General features: G+C 48.0%; 1 protein-coding gene across 32 annotated transcripts in view, besides 2 other annotated features; it reads left to right on the top strand.

Moving 5' to 3' along the window:
* NPHP4 (nephrocystin 4) overlaps positions 1-27,353 on the top strand; it is a 129,615-nt gene that overhangs the window by 65,130 nt on the left and 37,132 nt on the right. For 24 of the 32 annotated variants that reach the window (XR_007058632.1, XM_006710563.4, XM_017000999.2 and 21 more), the window contains 5 exons: positions 18,083-18,144; positions 20,074-20,181; positions 21,513-21,664; positions 21,813-22,004; positions 22,492-22,679. Coding sequence is in view for 30 of the 32 variants with exons in the window: in XM_006710563.4 (XP_006710626.1) it covers positions 18,083-18,144; positions 20,074-20,181; positions 21,513-21,664; positions 21,813-22,004; positions 22,492-22,679 (702 nt within the window). In the remaining 2 variants the exon portion in view is untranslated. The remainder of the gene's footprint in view (positions 1-18,082; positions 18,145-20,073; positions 20,182-21,512; positions 21,665-21,812; positions 22,005-22,491; positions 22,680-27,353) is intronic. The other 8 variants (NR_111987.2, XM_047417565.1, XM_017000996.2 and 5 more) reach the window with 4 other exon arrangements.
* Positions 6,902-7,402: an enhancer, noted in NCBI's record as "H3K4me1 hESC enhancer chr1:5979954-5980454 (GRCh37/hg19 assembly coordinates)". NCBI's record gives its function as "activates a minimal SCP1, AML or CMV promoter by ChIP-STARR-seq in naive H9 embryonic stem cells {active_cell/tissue: H9 hESC(naive)}" and the evidence as "EXISTENCE:reporter gene assay evidence [ECO:0000049][PMID:30033119]".
* Positions 18,058-18,583: an enhancer, noted in NCBI's record as "H3K4me1 hESC enhancer chr1:5968773-5969298 (GRCh37/hg19 assembly coordinates)". NCBI's record gives its function as "activates a minimal SCP1, AML or CMV promoter by ChIP-STARR-seq in primed H9 embryonic stem cells {active_cell/tissue: H9 hESC(primed)}" and the evidence as "EXISTENCE:reporter gene assay evidence [ECO:0000049][PMID:30033119]".

Raw genomic sequence — 27,353 nt, 5'->3', positions numbered from 1 at the left:
TTGAAGTAGCCGTCTGTCTACTCACCTTGAAGCCCTGCCCGAAAGTTAGGAGTGTGTGATCTGAGTCTGTGGCTTTAAGAAAAGGAGTCACAATTGGCTACAAGCAGCAAGGGCTGCCAGCAGAGGTAGAGTCCTGGCCCTGTGGGTGGCAGCAAGTCCACATGGTTAGGAGGTTAAAGAGTTCTTATTGGCCGTCAGCCTAGCTGCTTCTGCTGAGGCAGTACCCTGTGCTCAGAGCCTCTTGGTTTAGACCCATGTCCTGGTTGAGAATTCCACCTATACTGAAGTGAGGGGCGGAAGGTACGAGGGAGTGTTGGAGTAGTCCACCTGAATGAGTATGGGGCCTTGGCTCTAGGCGTCTGGAGCTCTCACCACTGAAGGTTCTAGGATCCCTAGTCGCAGGTGATGACTTCCTTCTTTCTGCCTGTTCCAGATGGCAAGATAGGGAATGAGCAAACGTGCAAGCCCGGGAGGGAGCTTTGTGTTCCTCTGGGCTCCAGCTGGTGATGCCCGGGTGTCGAGGGAGGAGTTGCTTTCTGTGCTCGGCTATGGCCCCAAGTCCTGCTACAAAGCTGCTGGTGCTTCCATCACTCAGGAGGGGTTTTCTTCATGGATTGAGATTCTAATTTATGGGAACTGGTCTTGTTGAATTTGATTTTACAGTTGGTGGAAGCAGCACATGCATTTCTAAGTTGATGAATTTGATGAAGTTGATGATTTTCTGAGATACCTAATACAGTGCAAATGCTATGTAAATTGTACTGTTTAGGGAGTAATGACAAGAAAAAAAGAGTCTGTACGTGTTCAGTGCAGACACATTTAAAAAAAAATATTTTCAGCCCAAGTCTGGTTGAATTCATGGATGCAGAAACCATGGACCTACTCTGTACTCTGATTTTTGATTAAGTTACTTAAAAGTACAATAGTAATACATAATAAACATGGTCTTTCAGGATTCTCTGAGCTATCTAAGAATATTCCGGTACCAAAACTTAATAGTTGATTTCTTTGGGACAAACTACATCATTAAGTATTTTCCTTCTTTTCATAGAGGTGATGCATTTGATGGTTTTAATTGTTTTGTTTTTTCAGTGTTTGAATTTTGTGCCTAACAGCTTGTTCTCAAGATTTCTGTTTACCACCAGTGTGTACATTAATAATCCCATCTTTATAAACGGCACTGAAATGTACAGTCCCCCTTGTACTAGAATCCCTTGTGGTGGTGGGTGGTAGGCATGCATGCATTTCCTGTCAGAGTCGGTTTAGAATGAATTTCCAATTTCATTTGATAAAATTGAATGCATTCAAGGCATAGGACACATAATTTCAAAAAACTAAACAAAGGGTCATAATAAAGGATCATTTAAAACAACCCATTCCTGGCCAGGCACGGTGGCTCACGCCTGTAATCCCAGCACTTTGGGAGGCCGAGGCAGGTGGATCACAAGGTCAGGAGATCGAGACCGTTCTGGCTAACACGGTGAAACCCCGTCTCTACTAAAAATACAAAAAATTAGCTGGATGTGGTGGCGGGCGCCTGTAGTCCCAGTTACTTGGGAGGCTGAGGCAGGAGAACGGCGTGAACCCAGGAGGCAGAGCTTGCAGTGAGCCGAGATTGTGCCACTGCACTCCAGCCTGGGCGACAGAGCAAGACTCTGTCTCAAAAAACAAAACAAAACAAACAAAAAAAAACCCATTCCCTGCTTACATCTGATATCTTTCCTTCTTTGACATACACTCTTTGACATATAGTTATATTTTAAAAATAAAATACCTATCAACCTTTGAGAAACATAATTATGAAAAACGGAGGACCTTAGATTATAAATTGGGTATATTTTGTAATTAAATACAAACATGATTAGAGTTATCCCTCGGTATCCGTGGGGGACTGGTTCCACATGCTCAAGTCCCTTATATAAAATGGTGTGGTATTTGCCTGTAATCTACGCACATCCTCCTCTGTACTTTAAATCATCTTTAGGCTACTTACAATACCTAATACAGTGCAAATGCTATGTAAATCATTGTACTGTTTAGGGAATAATGACAAGAAAAAAAGAGTCTGTACGTGTTCAGTGCAGATACAACCATCCATTTTTTAAAAAATATTTTCAATCCAAGGCTGGTTGAATTCATGGATGCAGAACCCATGGATCCACTCTGTACTCTGATTTTTGATTAAGTTACTTAGAAGTACAGTAGTAATACATAATAAACATAGTTTGCCCATGTCTGTAGAAATGCCTGAACAGAGAATGAACCTGTATAGCTAGCTTTCAGGAAAAATATGACTACCTTCTCTGGAAAGAAATTTTCATGTGTTTAAATTATGATACAGGCCAGGCATGGTGGCTCATGCATGTAATCCTAGCACTTTAGAAGGCTGAGGCAGGAGGATCACTTGAGCTCAGGAGTTCAAGACCAGCCTGGGCAACATAGCAAGACCCCATTTCTACTAAAAATAAAACAAATTAGCTATGCGCGGTGGTGTGCACCTTTAGTCCCCGCTACTCAGGAGGCCAAGGCAAGAGGATTGGTTGAGCCCGGGAGATGGAGGCTGCAGTGAGCCGTGATTACGCCAGTGCACTCCAGCCTGGGCAAAAGAGTGAGACCTTGTCTCAAAAATAAATAAGTAAATAAAGATATAGTTATGGCACTGGAAAAGAGCAGCTAGTTATGTTTTGAAGACCTTCTAATCAAATTAACTATAAACTCTGATGGGCTGATCCTGCTGTCGGGCTTTTGGGCTGGATCAATTTGTGGATGCCATCTGTGGGCTTTGGTTTTACTTCCCTGGCTGCCCTGTTTTCATGAGGCGTTTGGAGGAGATTTTAAAACCAGTCTGCCACTGCCTCTGCTTGCCCAGAATGATTCTTTAACTGATTTTTTTGCCAGGGTTCCTTGAGCTTCTTAGATCTCTAGATTTATAGTTTTCATCACATTTGGAAAAATTGTGGTCATTATTTCTTCACATATTTCTTCTGTCTTTCTCTCTCATCCTCTCATTCAGAGGCCCCAGTTACGTGTTTATCAGGCTGCCAGAAATTGCCTCACAGCTCGCTGATACTCTGTTCACTTTTATTCATAACCTCCTTTTGCTGTGTGTTTCATTTTAGATAGTTTCTGTCTTCAAGTTCACTTCAAGTTCTTTTCTTCTGGAGTGTCTGATCTGCCATTTATCCTTTTCAGTATACTTTTCATCTCAGATATTATAGTTTTCATCTCTAGAAGTTCGTCTGGGCTTGTTTTATTCTTCCGTGTCTTGACTTAACATGTTCAGTGTTTCCTCTGGCTTTTTGAACTTAAGAAATACAGTTATAACTACTTTAATATCCTGGCTTGCTAATTCTAATATCTTTGTCAGTTCAGGATCAGTTTTGATTGATAGATTTTTGTCCTGATTGGGTTCTGTTTTCCTGCCTCTTTGGATGTCTGATAACTTTTGATGGGCTCCAGATACTGAGAATTTTCTCTTACTGGATACTGAATGTTTTTGTATCTGATAAATATTCTTAAGCTTTGAAAATTGTTAGATCCTTTTGGGTCTTGCTCTTAAGATTGGTTAGGTGAGATCAGATCAGCATTTCATCTAGGGCTGATTATTCCTCACTGAGATGACAGGTGCCCCCAGAGGGCTCTGCCCGGTGTCCCATGAAGAATGAGGATTACCAGGTGGCTGGAGGGAACAGCGCTATGTCTGCCTGCCCTGTGAAGACCAGGCCCTATTCCCTGTAATCCTCTCTGGTGGTTCTTTCTCTTTTGGCCTTAGGAAGTTTCCTGATCCGCGCTCTACTGAATGCTAGGGTGGGACCCTCTGTAAATGGCTGGCATTCTCTCTCTGTGCTGCTCATCCTGTCTGGTGCAAACTCACTGAACACAGTAAGCTGGGGTCAGGGTAGGCCTTCCCTCTTCTGTTTCCCAGCCCTTGGGATCACTCTCCTTTGTTGCCTGAAGTCCACTGTCTTGAAAACCACTGTTCTACATATTTTGTGTTTAAAAGAAAATGTATTTTAGATGGGAGGGTCAATCTGATCACTGTTACTCTTCTTGGCCAGAAGTAGAAGTCCTGTTAATAGTCTCTTGGCTGCTGAAATCATCCCCACCGGGGCCGATCATCCCGGGGTTTGAAAGCGTCTTCTAGCTGTGTGTGCTACTTGTGATTCACTCACCATGCTGCGTGTTTTCCGGACTTTTGAGTCTTGGCTCATGCTCTCCGCCTGGTGTGTCTTTCTCCCATACGCTGCATTTATTTTCTTTTAGGATATATTCCAGGGTTTTTGTTTTGTTTTGCTTTTAGAGATAAATTCTCACTTCGTTGCTCTGGCTGGAGTGCGTGCCATAATCACAGCTCACTGTAGCCTTGAACTCCTGAGCTCAAGCAATCCACCCGCCTCAGCCTCCTGAGTAGCCAGGACTACAGGGAGTGCCACCGTGCCCGGCTAAGCCAGGACTGCAGGCAGTGCCACCGTGCCCGGCTAAGCCAGGACTGCAGGCAGTGCCACCGTGCCCGGCTAAGCCAGGACTGCAGGCAGTGCCACCGTGCCCGGCTAAGCCAGGACTGCAGGCAGTGCCACCGTGCCCGGCTAAGCCAGGACTGCAGACAGTGCCACCGTGCCTGGCTAAGTTTTTTGTTTTGTAGAGATATGGTCTTGCTGTGTTGTACAGGCTGCTCTTGAACTCCTGGCCTCAAGTGGTCCTCCCACCTTGGCCTCCCAAAATGCTGGGGTTATTTTTTAATTAAAAAAAAAAACCATAGTCAAGAATAGCCAAGGCAATTTTGAAGAAGGAGGGAGGCTTCACCTTTCTTAGTTTTCAGACTTACTGTAATGTTCTAATTTCTAGAACAAGTATAGCATTGATACAGAGAGAGATAAATAGATAATGGGACAAAATATAAAGTGTGATATGTGACAACTTGAAGAGAAGGAATATATTAGTTTCTGGTTGCTGTTACAACAAATTAGTGACGTTGCAACAGGAGCTTATTATCCTAAAATTCTGGAGGTCAGAAGTCCAAAGTGGGTCCTATAGTCTTAAATCGAGGGCTCAGCGGGGCTGTGCTCCTTCTGGAGGCTCCAGGGGAAAATCCATTTCCTCTCCTTTTCCAGCTGCTAGAGGCCACCTGCGTCCCTTGGCTCCTTCTTCCATCTTCAAAGGCAGCCATGTAGCACTTTCCAGTTGTCACTGAACTCTGACCCTCCTGCCTCCCTGCCTTTCACTTACAAAGACTATTGTGAGTACATTGGGCCCACCTGGATAATCCAGGGTCATCCCCCCATCTCAGGGTCAGCTGATGAGCACCTTAGTCCCTTGGCATTGAACATATGTATAGGTTCTGGGGTTAGGACGTGGGTATCTCTGGGGTGGCAGCAGTTACTCCGCTTACCGCAAGGAGTAGCAGTCAGTAAATGGTGTGGCGTGATCCCTTGCCCACATGGAAAATATAAAATTCAGTCCTAGCTTCATGTCATGTACAATAATAAATTCCAGATGGCCTAAAAACCAAAACTTCAGAAATGTTAGAATTAGAAGATCAGAAAGAGGAAAGATTATAGAAAGAAGTCCTCCAAATCAATAAGAAATAGACAGCAGGAAAGAAAAATGGACAGTGCTCAGCAGTTGCTGGGCGATCGCTAACGCTGTCGTCATATGAAGAGGGAATTTATAGAGAAGAAACCAGAATAACCAATAACCATAAACAAATGAAAACATGCTCAGTATTACTGGTAATCAGAGAAATGAAAATAAAATGACAAACCGTTTTATTCCCCTCATATTGGAGGAATCCAGATGTCTAATAGTGCAAAAGTTCCTGAGGATGTGGATAAAGCAGAACTCTTACCACCGTGGGAAGAATGGGATGTGTGCAGCCGCTTTGAAGAGTGATTTTGTAATATTTAGTTAATATCCTACAACTCAGAAGTGCCATTTCCAGACGACTGTTAGAGAGAACAACCGGTTCATGTGTATAAGGAGACATGGGCGGGCTCAGCATCACAGCAGCTGCTGGTTTCCCAGTCAGGGAATGGATAAACTGACTTACTTGGACAGTGAAATGCTGTGTGTCGGTTAAATGAATGAAATAGATCTATGCGTATCAGGTGGATAAACCTTCACAAAGGCATGTTGAATGAACACAAGTTCTGAAAGGAAATGAACAATGTGGTAGCATTTAAGTAACTTTCAAAACAATTGCATGTATTGCTTATGAATGCATACTTATTGAATATTAGAGCAGTTACTTAATGTCTGTGTCCCTGTTTCCTCAGCTGTAAAATGGGATGGATTAAATACTTAAAGTATGAAAAACAAACTTGAGAAATCTTAGAAAAAGACATTGGAGAATATTTTTATGGCCTTTGGGTTAGGAAGGCCTTCTTAAGCAAGATAGACAAAGCATAAACCAAAGAGACGATTGAGAAATAAGATTATATTAAAATATAAAACTTCTGTGTGAGAAAAGACTCTGTAAACAAAGTTAGAAGACAGACCTCAGGCTGAAAGATATTTGCAATACATATGACCATTAAAAATTAATGAAGGAAGTAAGATGAGAAGATTAGAAAGAAGGATTACAGAAAGACCTCCTCCAAATCAATAAGAAGCAGATAAACAACAGAAAAGAAAAATGGGCAAAGGATAGCCAAGGATTGGGGGGAGGATGAAATGAGTAAAGATATGTCCAGGTGCTCGGGGCTGCCTGGCGTGGAGCAGATGCCCAGCGATTGTCGGGCGATCATTAACGTTGTCCCCATGCCACTGCCATTGTGGTTCTTCTGGTTGGCAGCGTTGAGGGAAGCGACCACATGTACGTACCCCTTCAACTACTGGTTCAATTAACACGGGGCCGCCAGGGCAGGAGCAGCTGGAGCACATCTCTACGGAGCTCCTCTGGACCCCAGAGTCTTTGATGGGTGAAAACAGCTAACCCCGGCTGGGCGCAGTGGCTCATGCCTATAATCCCAGCATGTTGGGAGGCTGAGGTGGGAGGATGGCTTGAAGCCAAGAGTTCGAGATCAGCCTGGGTAACATAGCAAGGCCCTGACTCTACAAAAAACTTAAGGCCGGGCGCGGTGGCTCATGCCTGTAATCCCAGCACTTTGGGAGGTTCAGGCGGGCATATCATGAGGTTCAGGAGATTGAGACCATCCTGGCTAACATGGTGAAACCCTATCTCTACTAAAAATACAAAAAATCAGCTGGCGTGGTGGCACGCGCCTGTAGTCCCAGCTACTCGGGAGGCTGGGGCAAGAGATCTCTTGAACCTGGGAGTCAGAGGTTGCAGTGAGCCGAGATTGCACCACTGCACTCCAGCCTGGACGATAGAGTGAGACTCTGTCTCTAGATAGATAGGTAGATAGATAGATAAGTAAATAAATGCATGCAGTAGCTGGGTGTGGTAGCATGTGCCTGTAGTCTCAGCTACTTGGGAGGCTGAGGCAGGAGAATTGCTTGAACCCAGGAATTCGAGGCTGCAGTGAACTATGATCACGTCACTGTACTCTAGCCTGGGCATCAGAGCCAGACTTTGCCTCTAAAAAAAAAAACAAAAAAAACCCACAAACAAACAAACACAGCTGGCCCTGACTGCATCCACGAAAGTAGGTTCCGGGTGGGCCCAGAAAGCTCAGTGTTGGCTATGCCTCTACCATTTTATCTTAGCCATTCTGCAAACACTTTAGGGCATGCTGACTCAGATGGGGCTTGTTCAGGTGGTCCTCCTTTTCTCCTACCCACTCTCCATTCAGCAAAGACTTGCGGAGAGTCTGTGATGTGCCAGGCACTTGGTTAGGCTCCTGTCCCAGTGGAGCTTTAAAAACAGACAATAAACAAACTACCAAATACGTGAGGTAGCAAGAAGAATCACGTGCCATCTGCTCTGGGATGTTAGTGAGGGTAGCTGCATGTGGGGACAGGGCACTGTGGGAACACCCTGTACCTTCTGCTCAGTACTGCTGAGAACCTAAAAAACTGTTCAAAAAAAGTATTAAAAAAGAGAGAATGACTTGTGGGGAGTTTTACAGTTATGTCCATCTTGATGTGATTAACTTGTATTTGGGATTTCTGTTTCTACAATTGAGGCCCAATTATAGAAGAGGTCAGCAAACTTTTTCTGTAAAGGCCAAATAGTAAGTATTTTAGGATTTGTGGGCAAGATGGTCTCTGTCACAGCTACTCATCTCCGCTGGTATATATAGGCGATACGTTAATGAATGGACGTGGCTGTGTTCTAATGAGACTTTGTTGATACGCACAGATTGTTAGCTGAATCGACCTGTGGACCATAGTTTGCAGACCCCTGATCTGCAGCTTTCTCTTATGTCATAATCCAGAGGAAGCTGCCCATTTTTTTCTGGGCTTTAAAATAGTTTAAACAAAAGGCAAGACCTGTTTCTTGAAGGTCTGATAAAACTTCTCTGTGAAACCACTGAAGGGATTTTTGACAACCAATTACATTTCTTTTCATGGTTATTGGTCTATTTATGTTTTCCACTTCATCTTGTGTTAACTTTTGGGATACACATCCTCTAAAAAAAATGGCCAATTTCCTCTAGTTTACAAGGATGCTGTGATAAAGTTTGTAACTAATTTAAACATTCAGTATGCGCCTGTGATTAGATTCCTTCCTTCGCTTTCTATCTTGGGAGGACTCTTCCTTTTTCGGTCAGGCTTATGAGAGGTTTGTATATTTCATTAGTCTCTTCAAAGAATCAGCTGTTACTTTTACTTACTGGTTCTCTTGTTTTTAAGTTATTAATTTTTTCTTTAATCTTAATTTAATTCTATATTTTATCTTTATTCATCCTCTTTGAAAAGCAGAATTCTTAGCTTATTTGCTCATCGTGTTTAATAATAAAATCATTTAAGATTCTGCAATTTTCTTCCAAGTACATCTTTTACCCCATTTCATAGGTTTTGATTTGGAATGTTATTTCCTACATTGTTGAGTTCCATTTTTATTTCCTTTTTACCTACAACTTGAAAATGTCTTTAAATATTCCCACATTTAAAAAGGCATATATTAAACTTTCCTTGCCCTCTCTTATGGAAACCTGTACTTATCTGTAAAGCCCTGCCTAAGGGTCTTGTCCATGGCAGAGCTTTGTTTTCAGCATCCCACAGCCCTTTGCAGACACCACCTTTTATTTTATATCCTTGTGTGTTGTCTGATTCCTTCCTTCCCTGCTACTGTTCTTAGAGGGTATTAGTCGAATTTGCTATGGTAACAAATAATCTCCAGATCTCGGTAGCTTAAAATAAAAAGGTTTATTTCTCACTCTCGCTGCGTGCGCATTGCAGTTGGTGGTGGCTCTGCTCGTCCTGGTCCCAGAGGGTGTTCGCCATCTTGAATATTGCTGGGTTGCGCCAGTAGGAAGGGGAGGCCTTGGGGAGGATCTTGTACCATCAGTTACGGCTCTGGCCCAGAAATGGCACACGTCACTTCTCCCCCTCCCGGGTTAGAAGTAGCCACGTGGCCTCCCAAGTCACAAGGGGACTGGGGACTGACTCATCGTATGCCTGGAAGGTAAAGAGGTGCAGATAGTTGGTGCATTTATTTGCTCCACACTGAAGAGTCTTATCATTGAAGCAGCTCACGGTGGGGACTGTTTCATTCATCTGTACATTGCCTGATGAGTCCTGGCCCACAGTAAAACATTCAGTACATATTTGTAGAGTGAATGAATTAATCAAAACCCTTTTGTATACAAGGGATAGAAACCTGACTCAAAATAGCTTCAACAAGAGAGAATGTATTGGCTCATGTGTCAGAAAAGCCTAGAGGTAGAGCTGATGTTAGGCATGGCTGGATCCCGGCACTCAAAGGATGCCATTAAGACTCCATCTGTTCGTCTCTCTCCCTCATGCCCCTACCCCCTCCCCTCCCCTTTAAGCTCTCCTTTCTTCAGTGTTGGCTTCTTTCCGGGTAGAGTTTCTCCACATGGTGAGCCCAGGAGCTCCCAGGTAATCCTGGGCTTAGGAATCCCAACAGAAAGGCCCTGATTGACTCAGTTGTTCCAGTGGGAGTCCTCCTGTCTTTACTGTGTAACACCTGATGGGGATGGGGGTGGGGACAGTTGGCCTTGGTCACACACCCTTCTTGGTGTGGGGGTTGGGGCCACCCCTGACTGTATGGTTAAGGGCTGGGAGGGTGATTCCCTAAAGGAAAACCACCAGAAGAGAGTACGGATTCAGGGTCGGTGAAGTTGACAGATAGTGGCTGCCTCTGGGTTGGGGCTCCTGGTCTCCCGATCCCAGTCCAGGGTCTTTCCCTGCCACTGCCGCTTTGGCTGCACTCTTGCATTCCAGCTTTGCCCAGCTATTCTTGCATTTTGCCGTCAGTGAATGCATAGACTTGAGTAGTTCCTGTGACTCTTTCTTTTGTTTGAGAAGGACGAAGACAGGTAAGAAGCAGCCTGTCCTCCTTCTAGAAGCCTGCTGTGCTTTTAGTAGAGATGGGGTTTCGCCATGTTGGCCAGGCTGCTCTTGAACTCCTGACCTCAGGTGATCCGCCCACCTTGGCCCCAGAATGCTGGGATTACAGGCATGAGCCACTGCACCCGGCCTAGCTTGACTTCTTAAGATGCAGAGCTGTGGGGAACCATGCTTTGAGTTCCTCACCAGAAGATTTACTGTCATATCCTTGGCAGAGAGGAGTGTGCCTTGGTTACTGGAAGGACCAGGAGTTGAACGGTGGTGCAAATGAGCTGTAGCAGCATAATCTACTTCTCAGTCACTGTTTGGGGACCAGCAAATCTACATGGATGGACCCTGATTTCACTGAGTTTATTTAATTTGGATTTATGGCTGCATTCATGTCACATTAAATGATTACCTTCAGCCCAGGTTCCAAGCATTGGAAGACATTGCCTCTCAAAACCCAATGTAAGAGACTTTTAAATACCCACTAGTGTTTAACTTATGATGGAAACTTTTCATACTTCAGTATTTCACCAACTTATATGGTTCCTTTGGAGATCTTAATGATATGCGGCTGTCACTTTAAGTGAGGTACTTTGGCTCTCGGTTATGAATAATCCTTTTTATTTTCTCTGTAACATTGCAAGGGAGCAAAGTTTCATTCATCACTTACCACAGAAGAGTGTGCATTGAGCCGCTAGAGGGCACTCAGTCTTTATTTTTTTGTAACTTGGAATTTCCCTGACCTATATTTTGCTTTTGAATGTTCCTCTGGTGGTGTCAGAATTTTGGTTTGTTTGCTTAATAGATTTGAAAACAGCCATGTAGAAGGGGTCATTGCAAACATGTAATTGTGGTGTTTCCCAGGACACGTGGAGTTAGATTCCTGCCCCGTGGTGCCTGCTGTGCTGCTAGCTGGTCTGGAACATCCTCTCCGACAGACAGCAGCTCCCTTGTCCTGGGTGAGGGTGGTTCAGTCAATCACATGGTGGTGGGGGAGAGTCTAAGGCCATGGAGCAGCTTTTTGGCCACCCTCCAACCACGGAATGGAAGTTCGTGTGCAGGTGGTAAGGGTGCATTTTGCTGGAGAATTAGTGGGACAGTGGGTCAGAGCAAGGCTTTGACAAGGGAGGTGACACTTCTGAAACTGACCCTGGAGGTGACCCCAGCTCAGGGCTCTGGCAAGTCACGGAACTCCCCACTCGGCTTGGGCCTGCTGAACCAGCTCCTGTTCTGGGCTGCCTGCGATCTGGACTCCTGCAGTCCTGGGCTGCCTGGGATCTGGACTCCTGCAGCACAGAGTCCTGTGCTCACTCATCATCCAGTTGCCCCTTGATCTCTGCTTAGGTTTTGTTCATTTTCCCATTCCTGTTTTCAAACTCTTAGGAACAATGACTTTTTACCTACAAATAGTTAGGAATAAAGGCCTTTCAAGTGGGTTTGCCATGTGAATTCTTAGTGTCTAGAGTACCACTAGATACTGACTCATCCTTTATTTTCACGGCCTGATGAAAGGAAGCTACTTTTTGCAACCCTTCTTCAAACCCCAGAGACTGCATCTTTACTAGCGATGGTCCTTCCTTTCCCCTGCCTTTTGGGGCCATCTGTTTACCCCTGTTTGTAACAGGGCCACAGTCTACCCCCAAGGCCCAAGGCCCAAGGCCCAAGGCCTGGCCCGTCCCTGCCTTCCACCAGCTGCCATGAGTTGCTAAGCAACAGCCTCTGCGTGCTGCCCCCTCTCCCTCCTCCCTCAGGACTTCTCTCTCCCACGGAATTGCTGACCCCATAGGTAAATGCAGGCAGCTTTGCTCAGCTGGGCAGTTGCTCAGCGAAATGAGCATTTTCCTCTGTTAGGACCCCTCATCCAGCCCTCTGCTGACCCCTGTTTGCTCAGTGGCAGGCTGGCAGCACAGCTAGGCCCAGGAGGACAGGTGCGTTTCAGGGTGCGGGGGGGAGGTCTACCTGGCACCTGCTGGGGCAGTCGGGCCACAGGGGACTGGTGCTGTGGGGACCGCATTCACGACCCCGTTCACATTTCCAGAAAGGACACGTTGGCCTCCATGCATGTGTCCTGATGTTGAGAGGCCCCTGCTCCCTTCAGCCTAGGAAGACATCTCAATGAAGACCACAGCCCCGTCCTCCACTGAGCTGTTTCCTTATCTTCATTTCTTTCTGTGGTCCTGTCATAGCGCAGGCATCTGATAAAATGTTTGTTGGAAAATGAATCTATGGACGTGGGAAAGTAAAGGTGGTGAAAACATGTCCTTCCTTTCCCCTTGCTTCTATTTTCACTTTTTAATTGGCAATGCGCATGCATATTGAAAAGTTATGTGGCTTGAGGCGACAGATAGCTGCTCAGTGAAACCCTAGGTCAGGACATGGACACCGCAGCCTGGCAGTGCCGGGACTCCCTTGTGTAGTCAGTACTTTTTATTTTTTTGAGAGAAGATCTCACTCTGTTGTCCAGGCTGGAGTGCAATGGCGTAGTCACGGCTCACTGTGGCTTCCACCTTCCAGGCCCAAGTGATCTTCCCACTTCTGCCTCCCATGTAGCTGGGACCACAGGTGCATGCCACCACACCAGGCCTTTTTTTTTTTTTTTTTTTTTTTTTTTTTGTATAGATAAGATTTTGCCATGTTGCCCAGGCTAATCTCGAACTTCTGGACTCAAAACAGTCCTCCTGCCTTGGCCTCCCAAAGTGCTGGGATTATAGGCATGAGCTACCATGTCCAGCTGGTAGTCAGTACTTTTAATCTGTCTGGTGAGGTGACGCTGGAAGTGAGAGAGGGTTGTTGGTGGGGAGGCCGCCTCCTGCCCCAGCCCTATCCCTGTTCATGTCCTGGCCCGCGTGCGTGATGAAGAAGCGAAGCCCAGTGTACTTACTTTGCGGGGAGCTGCGTGCCTGGCGGCCATGGGGTTGGCTGGAGAGCTCCTTCCTCTGTTCTGGGCTGTGATGTTAGTGGTATTATTACTCTGGGTAACAATGTTCTTTTCTGTTCTCTGCGTTATGTATAGAATGATCTCCTTCGGGGTGGAGGAAGGAGGAATTCTGGGGAATATTGTCCCTGTGAGTATATTTGAGCATTATTTGTTCACTGTACAACTTCTGCAGTTCAACTCACCCACAGTGCTGAGAGCCATGGGCTTGAGGGCATGCCTGTCTCTCTTGCGTGTGGAATGTGTGTGGGTTGCATCCTCTTGCAGGGCCCCCTCCAGGCGAGTGCAGAGGCAGTGTGAAGACGTTGGCAGTGACCAGGTGGGATGCGTGGCCTCCCGGGGTTGGGATCAGAGTGCAGGCCCTGCCTTGCCTCCTGAGGCCTGTGCTGTAGTTGAGTGCAGGGCTTTTGAGTTTCTTGAAGCTAAATTGACAGAAAAGTAGACATTTGAGATTTTGTTGACTGTGGTTTTCAGCAAGTGGAGACTGATTGGAGAGTGATAGAGCGTCAGGGAAAAGGAATCTTCAGAGAGGTGGAGAAACCTGCCGTGGTGGGAAGTCTAAGTTTTTCTTTGTCTCTAGCAATCCATGTGGACCATTTCTGGATCACAGTTGGTTCTGGTGTCCTGGGAAACCAGTGACTTAGTCTCTTCCTGCTCTTCTCAGATCTGGCTCTGGGCCAGAGGTGTGTGCTGGCAACCCCATCTCAGGGCCCCGCTGGCCACGAGCTTCTTGGAGCAGCCGTGGAAGAGCTGAGTCTCTGTGCTTTTTTTTTTTTTTTTTTTTGAGATGGAGTCTCACTCTTTTTGCCCAGGTTGGAGTGCAGTGGCGCGATCTCTGCTCATTGCAACCTCCGCCTCCTGGGTTCAAGCAATTCTTCTGCCTCAGCCTCCCGAGTAGCTAGGATTACAGGCGCGTGCCACCATGTCTGGCTAATTTTTGTATTTTTAGTAGAGACGGGGCTTCACCACGTTGGCCAGGCTCTGTGCTCTTCTTCTTAACGCCAGGTTATTTCCCTGAAACCAGGGTCCTGTGGTGGCTCAGCCAGACGCTGATTCCCCTCCCAGTGAGGGAGCCCAGGCCTCTGCCGCAGGGGTGAGAACGGAGGGGCTCCGTGTTGGGAGAGGCACCTGGTCATGCTGCTTGCCGTGGAGGTCTCAGCTTTCCATTCTGTGCTGACTGTGTTACTACTTCAGGCTCCATCAGGGACCTACAGGTGTGTCTTATAATGACTGTTAAACTAACATTTAATTTACTTTAAGTTTTATGGGCAATGTAGGAATACGCGTTTCCTAGCATGTCTCATGGGTGTGGTTACCACGAGTTTGCCAGCACACCCGTATACACTGTGGGTTTCTTTCATTTTTCTTTTTTCTTTTTTCTTTTTTTTTTTTTTTTTTGAGACGGAGTCTCACTGTGTTGCCCAGGCTGGAGTGCAGTGGCGCGATCTCGGCTCACCGAAAGCTCCGCCTCCCGGGTTCACGCCATTCTCCTGCCTCAGCCTCCTGAGTAGCTGGGACTACAGGTGCCCACCACCATACCCGGCTAATTTTTTGTATTTTTAGTAGAGATGGGGTTTCACCGTGTTAGCCAGGATGGTCTCGATCTCCTGACCTTGTGATCCACCCGCCTCGGCCTCCCAAAGTGCTGGGATTACAGGCGTGAGCCACCGTGCCCGGCCTATCGTCACTTTTTAACTTGCCGCGGCTGCCTTCCCAGTTCTGCACACACCGGCTGGTCTCCTCCCATCCCATTGCTCCCCTGCCCCACGCAGGATCTGCCGGGTTCTGCTGAGGTAGCTTCCATTTGCAGGAGCACCAGGATTGTGTCTAATGTTTTGCTGTTGTCGCAGCGCTGCCCCAGACAGCCTTGTGCTCGTCTGTCTGCTCACCGCAGCTGCTCCTACCTGTGTCCTGTGCACACGCATGCTGCTCCCGGTTCAGTTGCTGGCCCAGGTGCTTGTCAGCCAAGTCCTGTTATGTGGCGGAAGTCAGGCTTCCCAGACTCCACCGTGGTTTTTGGAAGACTCCTGGGGCCTGGAGTACAGCGGGTGCTCCCTGGCGGCCGCGCTGTCCTCTGGGCAGGACTATGAGTATAGTTTGGGAAGCACCTTAACCCATAACCACATCGAACATTAAAACAAAGAGATTCGAAACTGAGTTATTTCGTGGCCTTGGTGTGTCTCTTCCTGCTCTGCTTCACCGGTTGGATCTGAGTTTTGGGCCCTGGGGGTCTGGGCTTCCCACCAGGTATCTTTTTAAATGGCCACCTTTAATGGCCTTTTTAAATGGCCTTGTAGGTAGGTTTACTCTCTTGGAAGAAAAAATTGCATAAGTCATGATATAAAGAGTTACTTGAAAAAACTTTCCACACTGTATGCAAATTTGAGACGATGGGGAAATAAAATGCATGCGAGAAGTTCAGATGTGCTTGGAAGGTTTAACTTTTCATCCAGCTTTTCCTCCCCAAGAGGACGCACACAGGCACGGAGGGCTGGCCCCCGAGTGCCCGCTGTCTCTGCTGAAGATAATGGAGCCATTTCTGGCAATTTGTCCTCATTATCAAAATCAGCCTGCGGAGTTTTCCGAGTTCCCATTTACGGAGGAACGGCGTGGAGCTTCACTTACCACTCTGCTGTGTCATCTTTCAGGCTTTTTCTGGGAGGAGGTGGGCAGGGGTTTGCCGTACGGAGCTCTGAAATGGACTGTAAGAGGCACTCAGGGAATCTGGGGAGAGGCATCGGCTTTGAGGACAGCTGGGCCCCTGCAGAATCCTCATCTGCATTTTGCTTTTAGTGAGATGATATTTTCCTGGGGAAGCAGAGCTTGCTAGATCATTTGCTAACTCCCTCCGAGCACGTGAGCTCATTTATAGAAGGGCAGGTTCCTCTGACCAGAGTCTTTGTGCTCCTTGGAGCCACGTTACTGTGGCTGGTTACAGAGGAGCTGCGCGGGCCAAATGGGCGCTGCCCAGGAGGTAGTTGGACTGGGAGCTGTGCCCGCCAGGCTGGGCAGTTGGATCCTCTGAGGGTTGGGGGCTCCCTCTGGCCTTGCCCCAATGCCTTCCACCCATCCACAGGCCCTTAGCAGGGTTTCCACCAGATCCTGCAGCTGGGGAAGCACCTCCTTGGATGGGTTCTGGAAGCTGCTGGGAGAGGCACGGCGGGGATTGGCTCCGATGGTCGTGCAGCTCTGGTGTTAGGGCGGCACTTTCTGGATTTGGTTTCTCCTTGGTCGACAGCATTTTCCTTGTTGTTTTTGTTTTTTTGGGATTCAGAGCGGAACACGAAGTGGCTGAGCAGTCTCTATCCAGAGTGCCCAGCGTTTGACGTCACAGGCCTCTGTGCTGTGTGCTTGGTCCGTAGGTCCCGTAAGTGCCGGCCTGTGCTCTGTGCCATAGGAATTCAGGATACCAGGACATATAGGAGATTCGTTTGCCCAACCTTCATGGCAGCAGAGGCCACAGGAGAGGGAGGGAAGGCGAGCTGCTGGGCCCAAGATGTGGGCCACATGGGGGTGACGGGAGGTGGGACAGGGCCATGGGGGAAGCCTGATTTCTCCGGAGGTCTGGGTTATCCTGGAAGTCCGATGGGGAGTGGTAGTGTCTGCTGCAGTGGAGAGTCCTGTCACCGTGAAGGAGGCTGTCATGAGCCAGGTGGGGACAGGACATGGGCTGGAGACTGGGCTGTGGGCCTCAGGGAAGCCAGGCAGATGACTCAGTGTGCAGGGCTCCCACCCTGGCCTCTGAGTGGGCAGAGGTGGCCCCGTCAGGATGGGCTTGGGGTCTGGCTTGGTGGTTTCATGGTGGGCAAAGGCAAATGGCAGTGTATGTGAAATGACCGTAAGAGACGAGTGGCTATGGACGCTCCAGCACCGCTGTGGCAGGAGCCTGGTGGGTTTCAGAGACTCCAGCGATGCTGGGGCTTCCTCCTGCTGAGGTGCAGGGGCTGAGAGCCCTGGGTCTGCTGGGCCATGAGGTGTCCATGTGGCCTGGGGAGGGGTTGCAGAAGCAGCACAAATGCCAGCTGGGCTGAGGCGGGGCTGGGCAGGTACAGGTGGCCCTGGGAGGAGGCTGCTGGCTCTTTAGGCAGCCCCTGGATGCTTGGGAGGCAGCTGTGGCCTTATAAAGGGCCAAGGCAGTTCTCAGTCCCTGGCTCCAGGGGGACCCCATGAAGGGCTGGCCTTGCCTCCCCCAGGTGCGCCTCCCAGTGTTACCGGGCCTGCATGGAGAATCCTCAGCAGGACCTGGCGGACAGCTTGTGCTTAGTGGGTGTTCGTGAGGCCGCAAGCCAGGTTGGCAGTGTCTGCTCAGGAGCTTCTCGGTTAACAAAACAGCCGGAGTCAGGGAGCTGCAAGACTGGGGCAACCTCAGACCCCAGCTCTTCCGGGCAGGGAAGATGCAAAGATGACTAGTGAGGAGAAGCGTGTTAGGGAGCTCCAAGCACCCCAAGCTGTGAGACCTGCTGGCCCAGGAAGAACAGTGAGGACGAGGCCAGCTGTACCCCCTCTCCTGGCTGCTGGTGCATGCCAGGGCTCTAGATAGACAGCGACACTTTTGGGTGGCACCCTTGCTGCTGTTGCCCCTGAACGGTAACCAGCGGCTGCCCCTGTTACAGACAAGGTGGTGAGGCCTGTGGAGACCTGACTGCGTGGGGGTTCAGGGGCCCACTGCCCCCAACACAGGCTGACACATTCCCTCTCCTACCCCACTGTGCTTCCTCCCAGGCCCGCCAGCGCCAGTACCTCGAGTTCTCGCTGCCCCGCAGAACTCACCTGTGGGACCAGGGGTAAGTCCAGGCCCCCCACGGCCTCCTTCAGAATTCCAGAGTCAATTACTTGCAAGAAAACCCTCTGTCCCCCCTTAAGCACAGTGGATCCCTGCGTGCTTCTGCGTGGCTGGGGAGGGCCTGCTGGCGGCGGCGGGGCTGTCCCCTCCTACCCTGTCTGTGCAGCCTGTCCCTGATGTTCTGACTCCCAGTGCGGGCTTTTAGTGGGGCTGCTGCTTGCAACCCCTATGCTGCTGTATGGGGCGTCTCCACATCTCCCTGGCAGCTGCATCTCATGGTGGCAACTCTCAGGACTGGACGGCCTTTGCTTTTTCTGAGAGACATCGAGGTGTGGTCCTCACCCTCTTTGCTCTCCCAGACTAACTCCACCAGTAGCGGTGCCTGGCAGCTATTGGTGTCCCCTGGCCCTGTCGGCCAAGCAGCCGATGCTGGTGGAGACAGTGGCACTGCTGAGAACCACAAGCTGCTGGCAGTTGCACGTCCGACCGCACAGATCCCCGTGGCGCTGGAACTTCCTGAGTGGGAGGAGAGGCGCCTTCCCGCTGGGCCGTTGCCCGCCAGCGGTCTGAGCTGAGCTCCTGCTTGGCTGCCGTTCTGGAGTCCCGAGACACCCGTGGCGCTCACCTGTGGCTCCAAGGCTGGCCTTAGCTATGTGATTTGCAGTGAGGTCAGATGTGGCTTGTTCCTGCTGATGACTTTGTCTGCCAGCATCATCCTGGAAATTGACTTTCTAGAAAAGTTGACTAATTCAGTATCCATGGCTGTCTCCAAGGAAGCAGCTTTAGTGTGTCATCTGCAGTGGGAAACTGGATCAGGAGTGAAGAATACTGGATTCACCTAAAGGCGCAAGTCTGTGGACGGCCTCCCAGGCTTCCCTGCTGGCCCAACCTGGCATTTTCCCTGGAGCAGTTTCCACGTGACCCCGAGTGGTCACGATACCGTATAGGGTCTGAGGGAAGCTGGGTAGGCCCCAAAGATCTCCTCTGCTCCCTGAAGATGCTGCCAGGGTCCCCTGGGGATGCTTCATGCACCCCGCCCCCCATTCATTCCTCAGTGCCTCTTCATACATTGGGGCCTCTCTGCCAGCACCTGGTGTGGGCCAGCCATCATTGCTGACAGTGAATGTCTCAGGTGCTGGCTGTGTGTACTGGAGTTAGAGTCCGGGTTTGAGATCTGTGTCTTCAGTAGTGCGTGGGCCCCCAGCCCTCCGCATCAGTGTTTTAAGCCGCACTCATTTCCAAATATCTGCAGTATTTATAGAAGGCTCACCGTGTGCCAGGTACTATGCCAAACCCTAGCCAGGATTGTCATTTAATTCTCCTAACAGTCCTGCAGTTTAGGTACTATTATTACCCCCATTTTACAGGTGAGGAGACTGAGGCAAAAAGAGGTTAGCTGACTTGCCTGAGGCTACACAGTAATGCCACATTGGTGCGGGCACTCCACGGTAATGCCACGTTGGCACGGGCACTCTATCCACAGCTGTCTCCAGAGCCCGCGCTGGCCATCAAGATGGTCATTGCCTTAACAGGGAGGTTTGTTCGATAGGAACGCAGGCGGCTAGAACTGGCAGGGCCTTGGAGGTGCTCAGTCCAGTGCTGGCAAGGGACAGAGAGGCAGAGGCCAGGCCGCCCCTGTAGCTTGAGATGCTTTCTCCTTTCTTGCTTGTTTTCCTTGTTAATAATATTCTTATTCAGATATTATGATCTGGGGGAGATCATGGAATCACCTCTCTGTCATTAAATAAAGGAACTTGAGAAGCGGTCCCAGGTTCCAGAGCTGCCCTGGCCAGGAGGCTGCAGGCATCACTCCCTTCCGTGGCTGGATCCAGGGCTACCCCGTTCCCCGGTGTGGCCAGTGCATGTTGGGAGCTTTGTGGACGGACTGGCAAGCTTCTGAGCCCCTCACCTGTGCTCTCTTTCCTTCCAGTTGTCAATTTCCCAGCTGGCGGCCTCCCCGCGGTCCCCGACTCAGCACTGCTTGGCCAGGCCTACTTCACAGCTACCCCATGGCTCTCAGGCCTCCCCGGCCCAGGCAGTAAGTGCCGCCCACCTGCCGCCTTGCCTTCCACCAAGGAATGGCTCCACAGCTCCTCATTTTGGGTTTTTGCACTGTGCCTGTCCTTAGTTAGGTGGCAGAGACCTTGGCGGGTTACCTGGGATGTGGGTGGGAGTGGGGCATTGCTTACTCTGAGGCCTCAGACAGTTGTCACCATTCTGTCTTGGAGACCAAAGAAGAATGTGGCCCATGAGTTCTTCATACCACAGCGCTTGACTCAGATTGTGCTCTACCCATGAAAACAAAGTTAAGCTACCCCTAGGTCTCTACGTGAAAGTAAAAGGAAGGTGTGGCTATATCTATAGACAGGCTGAGACAGGCACCCAGCACCCCAGGACCCTCCTTGCTATCAGCAGCTAAAGGAGGTGAGTGGAGCCCGCCATCCTGGCTTCAGGGTGTGCTCCTGGCTAAGACTGGCATTGCCACTGGCCTTGGGGAATTCCTATGGAGTTTGGTTTCCAAAGTCGGCTGGTTCACCTGCAAACTGCATCTTTGGTCTTAACTGGAATTATGTTGAGGAAAAATAGTTTCTTTTAATTCCTTGTTTGAAAACACTCCTAGCACCATGAGTCTCTGCTGCTTTATCTAAAGCATCTCTGGGGCTCATGTGTTTGTGAAGAGCTTGCCTAGCTTTTTATTATTGGCGCATGAGACATGGTGTGAGGGTGACCTGGTTTCCTCTGGGCTGAAACAGAAAGCTTGGGAATGAAGCTTGAGAGAGCACATTCCCAACTCCCAAGCCAGCTCCTCTCTGAGAGGCCTGCCTCGGCCTTGGAGGGGAGTGGAGGTGGAATACGAGTGAATGACAAGAAGTTTCAGGGGCTGTGGGGACAAGAGACTGTCCAAACACGCCAGCCAGGGGCTCGGTGCCACAGTTTATCTTGGAGTATTGAGGAAGCTTCATCTTTCTGTTCTATAAACATGCTTTGATATGAATTTACCATCTCAGGTGTCAGGTATCTCCCACGGTCCTGACCTGCTCATAAAATTAGGATTCCCTCCTCACCGCTTCTCAACTCACACATTGGATTGCCACGTGAAATATAGGATGCCCAGTTAAATTTGAACCTCAGGTACACAACAAATAATTTTTTAGTGTAAGTATATCCCAAATATCGTAGGGACCATACTTATACTAAAATCATTTGTTGTTTACCTGAAATTCAAGTGTAATTGAACCTTTTGTATTTGCTAGAGCTGGCAACCCTCCAGAGGCAATTAATCGATGAATCCCCTTAGATCTGAGCACCGTTGGTTGTTACGGGTTGGGGTCCTTGGTGGCCTCACTTGGAAGCCCTCGTTTTGTTCAGCAGGAGTTCCCGTTGGAGGCCGGTATCTCCCACCTGGAAGCCGACCTGAGCCAGACCTCCCTGGTCCTGGAAACATCCATTGCCGAACAGTTACAGGAGCTGCCGTTCACGCCTTTGCATGCCCCTATTGTTGTGGGAACCCAGACCAGGAGGTGAGGTGTGGGTCTGGGTGGGATGGAACCAGTCACGTGCTGTGCCGTCAGACTGTTGGACCTTGTGAACCCCAGGGTTTCCACAGGGAGGTGCATCAATGGGTCCCCCCTTTCCCGGGAGGCTACCTGAGGAGTCTCTGTGTCTCAGCTCTGCAGGGCAGCCCTCGAGAGCCTCCATGGTGCTCCTGCAGTCCTCCGGCTTTCCCGAGATTCTGGATGCCAATAAACAGCCAGCCGAGGCTGTCAGCGCTACAGAACCTGTGACGTTTAACCCTCAGAAGGAAGAATCAGATTGTCTACAAAGCAACGAGATGGTGCTACAGTTTCTTGCCTTTAGCAGGTAAATCCTTGAATATTCTGTTACTCATCTGGCTTTCACATTTCCTGTGTTGAAGAGAAACTTCGCTGAGGTTCTGACCTGGCAGAACTGTCTGTGCTGAGGTCTTAGTAGATTCGGGAGTGCCATCTGTTTTTATCTTCTCTTGGCTAGGACCCACCCACAGCATGCTAAATGCTGTGAAAGCTGCTTTACCCCATCTTTTGTGGTCCTTCATTAAAATGTGGACGGTGGGTTGTCCAGGTCTTAGATCTTAGTGTAGCTCCAAAGGCAGCTTCTCTAGCCGGGAGTGTCCTTACACTCGAGAATGCTGCTGTCTGGCCGGCTTGCTGAGAGCACAGCAAAGCGGTTGCATTGGTGACCACGGCAGCCTCTTTACTGTTCCCCAGCGACTAAGGTGCCTGGACCATCCCCTATGCAAACACACATTAGACCCCTCAGGTTCTGTGCCATGGATACTCAGTTAACCCAGAGCTGTTGTTGGATTCAGAGTGGCCCAGGACTGCCGAGGAACATCATGGCCAAAGACTGTGTATTTCACCTTCCAGTTCTACCGCTTCCCACCCGCAACGACGCCACGACTGCAGCTGGTCCAGCTGGATGAGGCCGGCCAGCCCAGCTCTGGCGCCCTGACCCACATCCTCGTGCCTGTGAGCAGAGATGGCACCTTTGATGCTGGTGAGTACTCATGTGCATGGCAAAGGCAAGACATTCTGTACTGAGTTGTGTGTGTAAATTGTCAGTGTTATTAAATAAGTGGTACTATGAAAAGTTTAAAACATATGCAACATTAGAATCATACGGTGACCAGTGCAGCAAACACTTAGCCCCAGCAGCTCTCAGCTGCCTCCCAACCCAGCGTCCTCCCCCAAGCCAGGGTTATTTTGAAGCAAATCCCAGACATTATATAATTTCATGTATGAATATTTCCTTATGTATATCTAAAAAATTAGGAATTCTCATTTGAAAAACATAAACTTAAGGGGTATAGCCCATCTAAAATAATAACTCCTAATATCATCAAATATCTAGCCAATGTTAAAATTTTGCTAGTAACCTCATAACATTTTTTTAAGTTTGTCCAGAAATAAGGTCCATACTGGTCATGGAGCAGTGTGACTCTTCAGTCTCTGTCTGCAGTTGCTGCCACCGTACCTGTCTCTGTTGTTTCTTTTTTATGTATTTATTGAAGAAGCCACATTGTACTGTAGAGCGTCCACCCCACAGTCTGGATTCTGTTTTTGTATCCTGGTGGTAACATAAAGGTGTTGTTCTGTCCCCTCTTTAGCTGTAAATTGGGAGTTAGATCTAGATGCATGATTAGATGCTTTTTTTTGTTTTTGGCAAGAGTTCTTTGTAGCAGGTGACGTTTGCGCCACCTCCTGCACCTCCGCTGCGCCCTTGGCGTCTGCTTGCTTCTCTTTGTGTTGCGTCAGCAGCCATTGTGCCCACCGCTGTGTCATTTGTGCAGAGGTGACGTTCTGCTTCTAGAACACCTCCCTTGTTTGTTAGCTGGGATGCTTCCAAAACCAGAAACTTCCTGGCATCAACTTTTTGCTTACCTTGAGGTGCAGTTTGTATAGGAAAGGCTGGATAATACTTGATTCTTCCCTTTATTTGCCAATTTCTGAAGTAATTACATGATTCCCTGGCATCCTTCAAGGATGGGGACTAATGACTTTTTTTTTCTTCGGGTATCATTGTAAACGAATAGATTGAAGCTACATTGAATAGAAACACACCTGACATGTTGATATTTTTATTGATGGTCAGTTTCCCCATCTTGGTCAGTGACTCAGCTCATAAGGGACCCAGCTGGGGTCTGAAACACTGCCGCCTCTCGAGGTAGAAAGTGGCAGATGGGAAAAGTGATGTTAAAATGCTGACCTCAAATGAAGTAGCCTAACAGTGGCACCTGACAGCAGAGACACAAAGCAAATGCAGCGCTAGGGATCAAGGAGGCTGGTAAACAATAACCAAGAAAGTAATTCACTAGGAAAAGAAACAGTTCTGAATCCGCGATCTTCTAACATACGTAGCCTCAAGATAGAGAGGAGAACTTGATGGACTTATAAGGAGAAATTGGCAAACCTCCACAATCATGGGAGTTCTAGACATACTTCTCAGTAGATTGATCAAACAGAAACAAGTTAATAAGGATATTATAAAATACAGTTTAAAAAGGTGATCTGAGAAAACCTGTACATCCCGTTTAGAGAATATGCATTATTTTAAAGCATACTTTGAAACTTAGAAAAACTGATCATCATTCATATATATTTTTTAGCTCACCAAGCAGGCATCACCCTATACTGAGAGAATCGGTATCAAATCTAATTTTATAACTTTCTCTGGCCATAATGCCACAAGATCAGAAGTCAGTCACTCCCTCCCCTACAACCACTCTGAACTGCTTTTATTTTTTTAATTTTAAAATGTGCTTCTAATTATTCCATGAGTCAATGAAGACCTCAAAATAGAAATGCGTAATTATTTAAAACTGAATGACAAAATAATATTGCATATCAAAACTTAGGAGATGCAAGTAAAATTGTAATTACAGGGGAATTTACAGTTTTAAATGCCTATGTTGGTGAAGAAGAAAGGTACTCTTTAAGATATTGTTTTAATTGTTCAACTTAAGAAGTTTTGGGGAGAAAGACAGAACAAACCCAGTAAAAGTAGAAGGAAAAAAATTTGATAAGTGTAAATGCTTAGAAGACAAAACAATAGAACGGGTCAACCAAACAGTTGGGCACCAGGGTCACCAGGTACAACAGGGCATGCTTCTTGTTTCTTGTCCATGGGCACAGTCGGTCAAGAGAGGCAGATGGCGGAGATGAAAATATCACTTTCTTTATCATGCATTTATTCATGATAAAGAGGGTGTAGGACTTGGTTGGTCTGAGAGCCAGCTGTGCCCACTGGCGCCAGCCCCTGATGTGGATGGCCTTTGATGCAGGTGGAGGTTGGCCAGACAGCAGCAGGCTTTGCACCTGGGGTGAGCCCTCGCCTCTCTGCATGCCTGGAAGCACATCTCGGACTGTTGCATTCTCTCCTGTGGGCAGATCTGAAAAGAAGAGAGTGGGGAGGAGGAGTGAGCAGCCTAGTTAGTTAGTTAGCTCAGTTAGGCTATTCCCCATCCCCAGTCAGTTGAGCTGCTCTTGCCCTGAGAGGCATGGGGGCTGGGCAGAGAGAGGCCACAGGAAGTTCCTTTGCATAGAGGTGTGAAGCCAGGGAAGGCTGTGCTCCTACAGCATTTCCAGGGTTTGGTTTTCTCAACTCACTGGCCTTCATCATTACGTTTATGGCCAACCAGGGGTGTGGCCTTTGTCTTTGGGGGAGGGGGCTGGTCACCACCAGGGCGGTTCCAACCTTCCTGAATCACTTCAACTAAGCCAACCACCTTTCCTTTTTCAGTCCTCCTGAGGCCTTTGGTAGACAGTCCAACTGATGTCCCCAGAAGGCTGTAAAATGGATCAGACTAATGCATTTGTCTCAAGGCTCCTCTGTACCCACTGCTGAAGACTCATTCCCCACTCTGTTTCCCATTCCAAATTCCATCCAGTCATTTTATCCAGCACAGCTCATCAGAGGCTCTGCAACGAAGTTAAATGATAGCGTTGAGACCATTCAATAAAAAAGGCCAACCACTTAGAGATGCTCCTGACTTGAATATAAACCCCTTTCCATGATGAATTTCCCAGAGAGGAATTAAAGTCCCCAAATTAAATTTCCTTGCAAGTTGAAGTCCAAAGAAATGAAACTCCAAAATCAAATTTTTCTTGTCATTATGAATTAAAATTCACAGTCCAAAATTCTTAAGTTGAAGTCCAAAAAAACCCCACCCGACTGATTTCAATTTCTTACATATCTGAGTCTCTGCCTGGGCAGGTCTGGGCTTCCTTCAGCAGCCGCAGCTTGTGGGAGGGTTCTCCCTGGACGGGCATGGTTCCCTAGGGCCTTGGTAGTTGCATCAGTTCAGGACTGAGCCTCTCATAAGCCTCACTTAAAAGATATTTGTTGTTGTTGTTGAACTGTAACATGCGTACGGTAAAGACAGATTGCCAGTGCATGGTTCCATTATTTTTAAAAATTAGTAATTTTATTTTTTTAGATCAGTTTTAGGTTTACAGAAAAATTGAGTAGCTGGTACAGAGAGTTCCCGTAGGACCTCCCCCCACCCCAACAGTTTCCCCTATTACTAACATTTTGCGTTGGTGTGACATATTCTTTTTTGTTTTTTTTTGGGTTTTATTTGAGACAGGATCTTACTCTGTCACCCAGGCTGGAGTGCAGTGGCACAATTATGGCTCATGGCAGCCTCGACCTCCTGGGCCCAAACAATCCTCCCACCTTAGCCCCCACATAGCTGGGACCACAGGCATGCACCACCATGCCCAACTAATATTTTTTTTGTAGTTTTTGTAGAGATGGGGTTTTGCCTTGTTGCCCAGGCTGGTGTTGAACTCCTTGGCTCAAGTGATCCTCCTGCCTCAGCCTCCCAAAGTGCTGAGATGACAGGCGTGAGCCACCATGTAACAAATGTAACATTTGTTACAATTGATGAACCAGTATTAAAAAATTATTATGAACTAAACTCATAGTTTACACTAAAGTTCATTCTGCATTATACAGTCTGTGATTTTTGACAAATACATGACATCATGGATCCACCATGATGGATCATACAGAATAGCTTCATGGCCCTACACCTCCCCTGCGCTCCACCTATTTAGCCCTCCCCTCCTCCCCTGGCACTACTGTTCTTTTGACTGTTTCCATGTTGCCTCTTCCAGAATGTCATACAGCTGGAATTATGTAGTATGTAGCTTTTCAAAACTGGTTTCTTCCCCCCAGCACTGTGCATTTAGTTCCTCCATGGCTTTTTGTGTCTCGCTCACTCACGTATTGGATTGCTGAATGATACTTCATTGCACGTATGTGCCACAGCCTGTTTTTCCATTCACCTCTTGAAGGGCATCTTGGTTGTTTACAGTTTTTGGCAATTTTGAATGAAGCTGTCAGAAACATTTGTGTACAGGGTGTTGTGTGTACATAATCTTTCAACTCACAGGTAAATACCAAGGAGTGTGATTGCTGGATCACGTGGTAAGAGTATGTTTAGTTTTGTTAGGAGTCACCATACTGTCTTCCAAAGTGGCTGGGCATTTTGCATTCCCACCAGCAGTGAATGAGGATTCTGGTTGCTCCATATCCTCACCAGCATTTGGTGTTGTCAGTGGTTTGGATTTTAGCCGCTCTAGCAGGCAGTGCAGTGGTGTCTTGTTGTTGTAATTTGCAGTTCTCTAGTGACCTATGATGTGGAGCATCTTCTCATGTGCTTATTTG

Source organism: Homo sapiens, chromosome 1 (assembly GCF_000001405.40).
Source record: "Homo sapiens chromosome 1, GRCh38.p14 Primary Assembly".
Classification (NCBI taxonomy): Eukaryota; Metazoa; Chordata; class Mammalia; order Primates; family Hominidae; genus Homo; species Homo sapiens.
The sequence above is the reverse complement of the archived record's forward strand: the minus strand, read 5'-3'. Positions and strand labels throughout refer to the sequence as shown.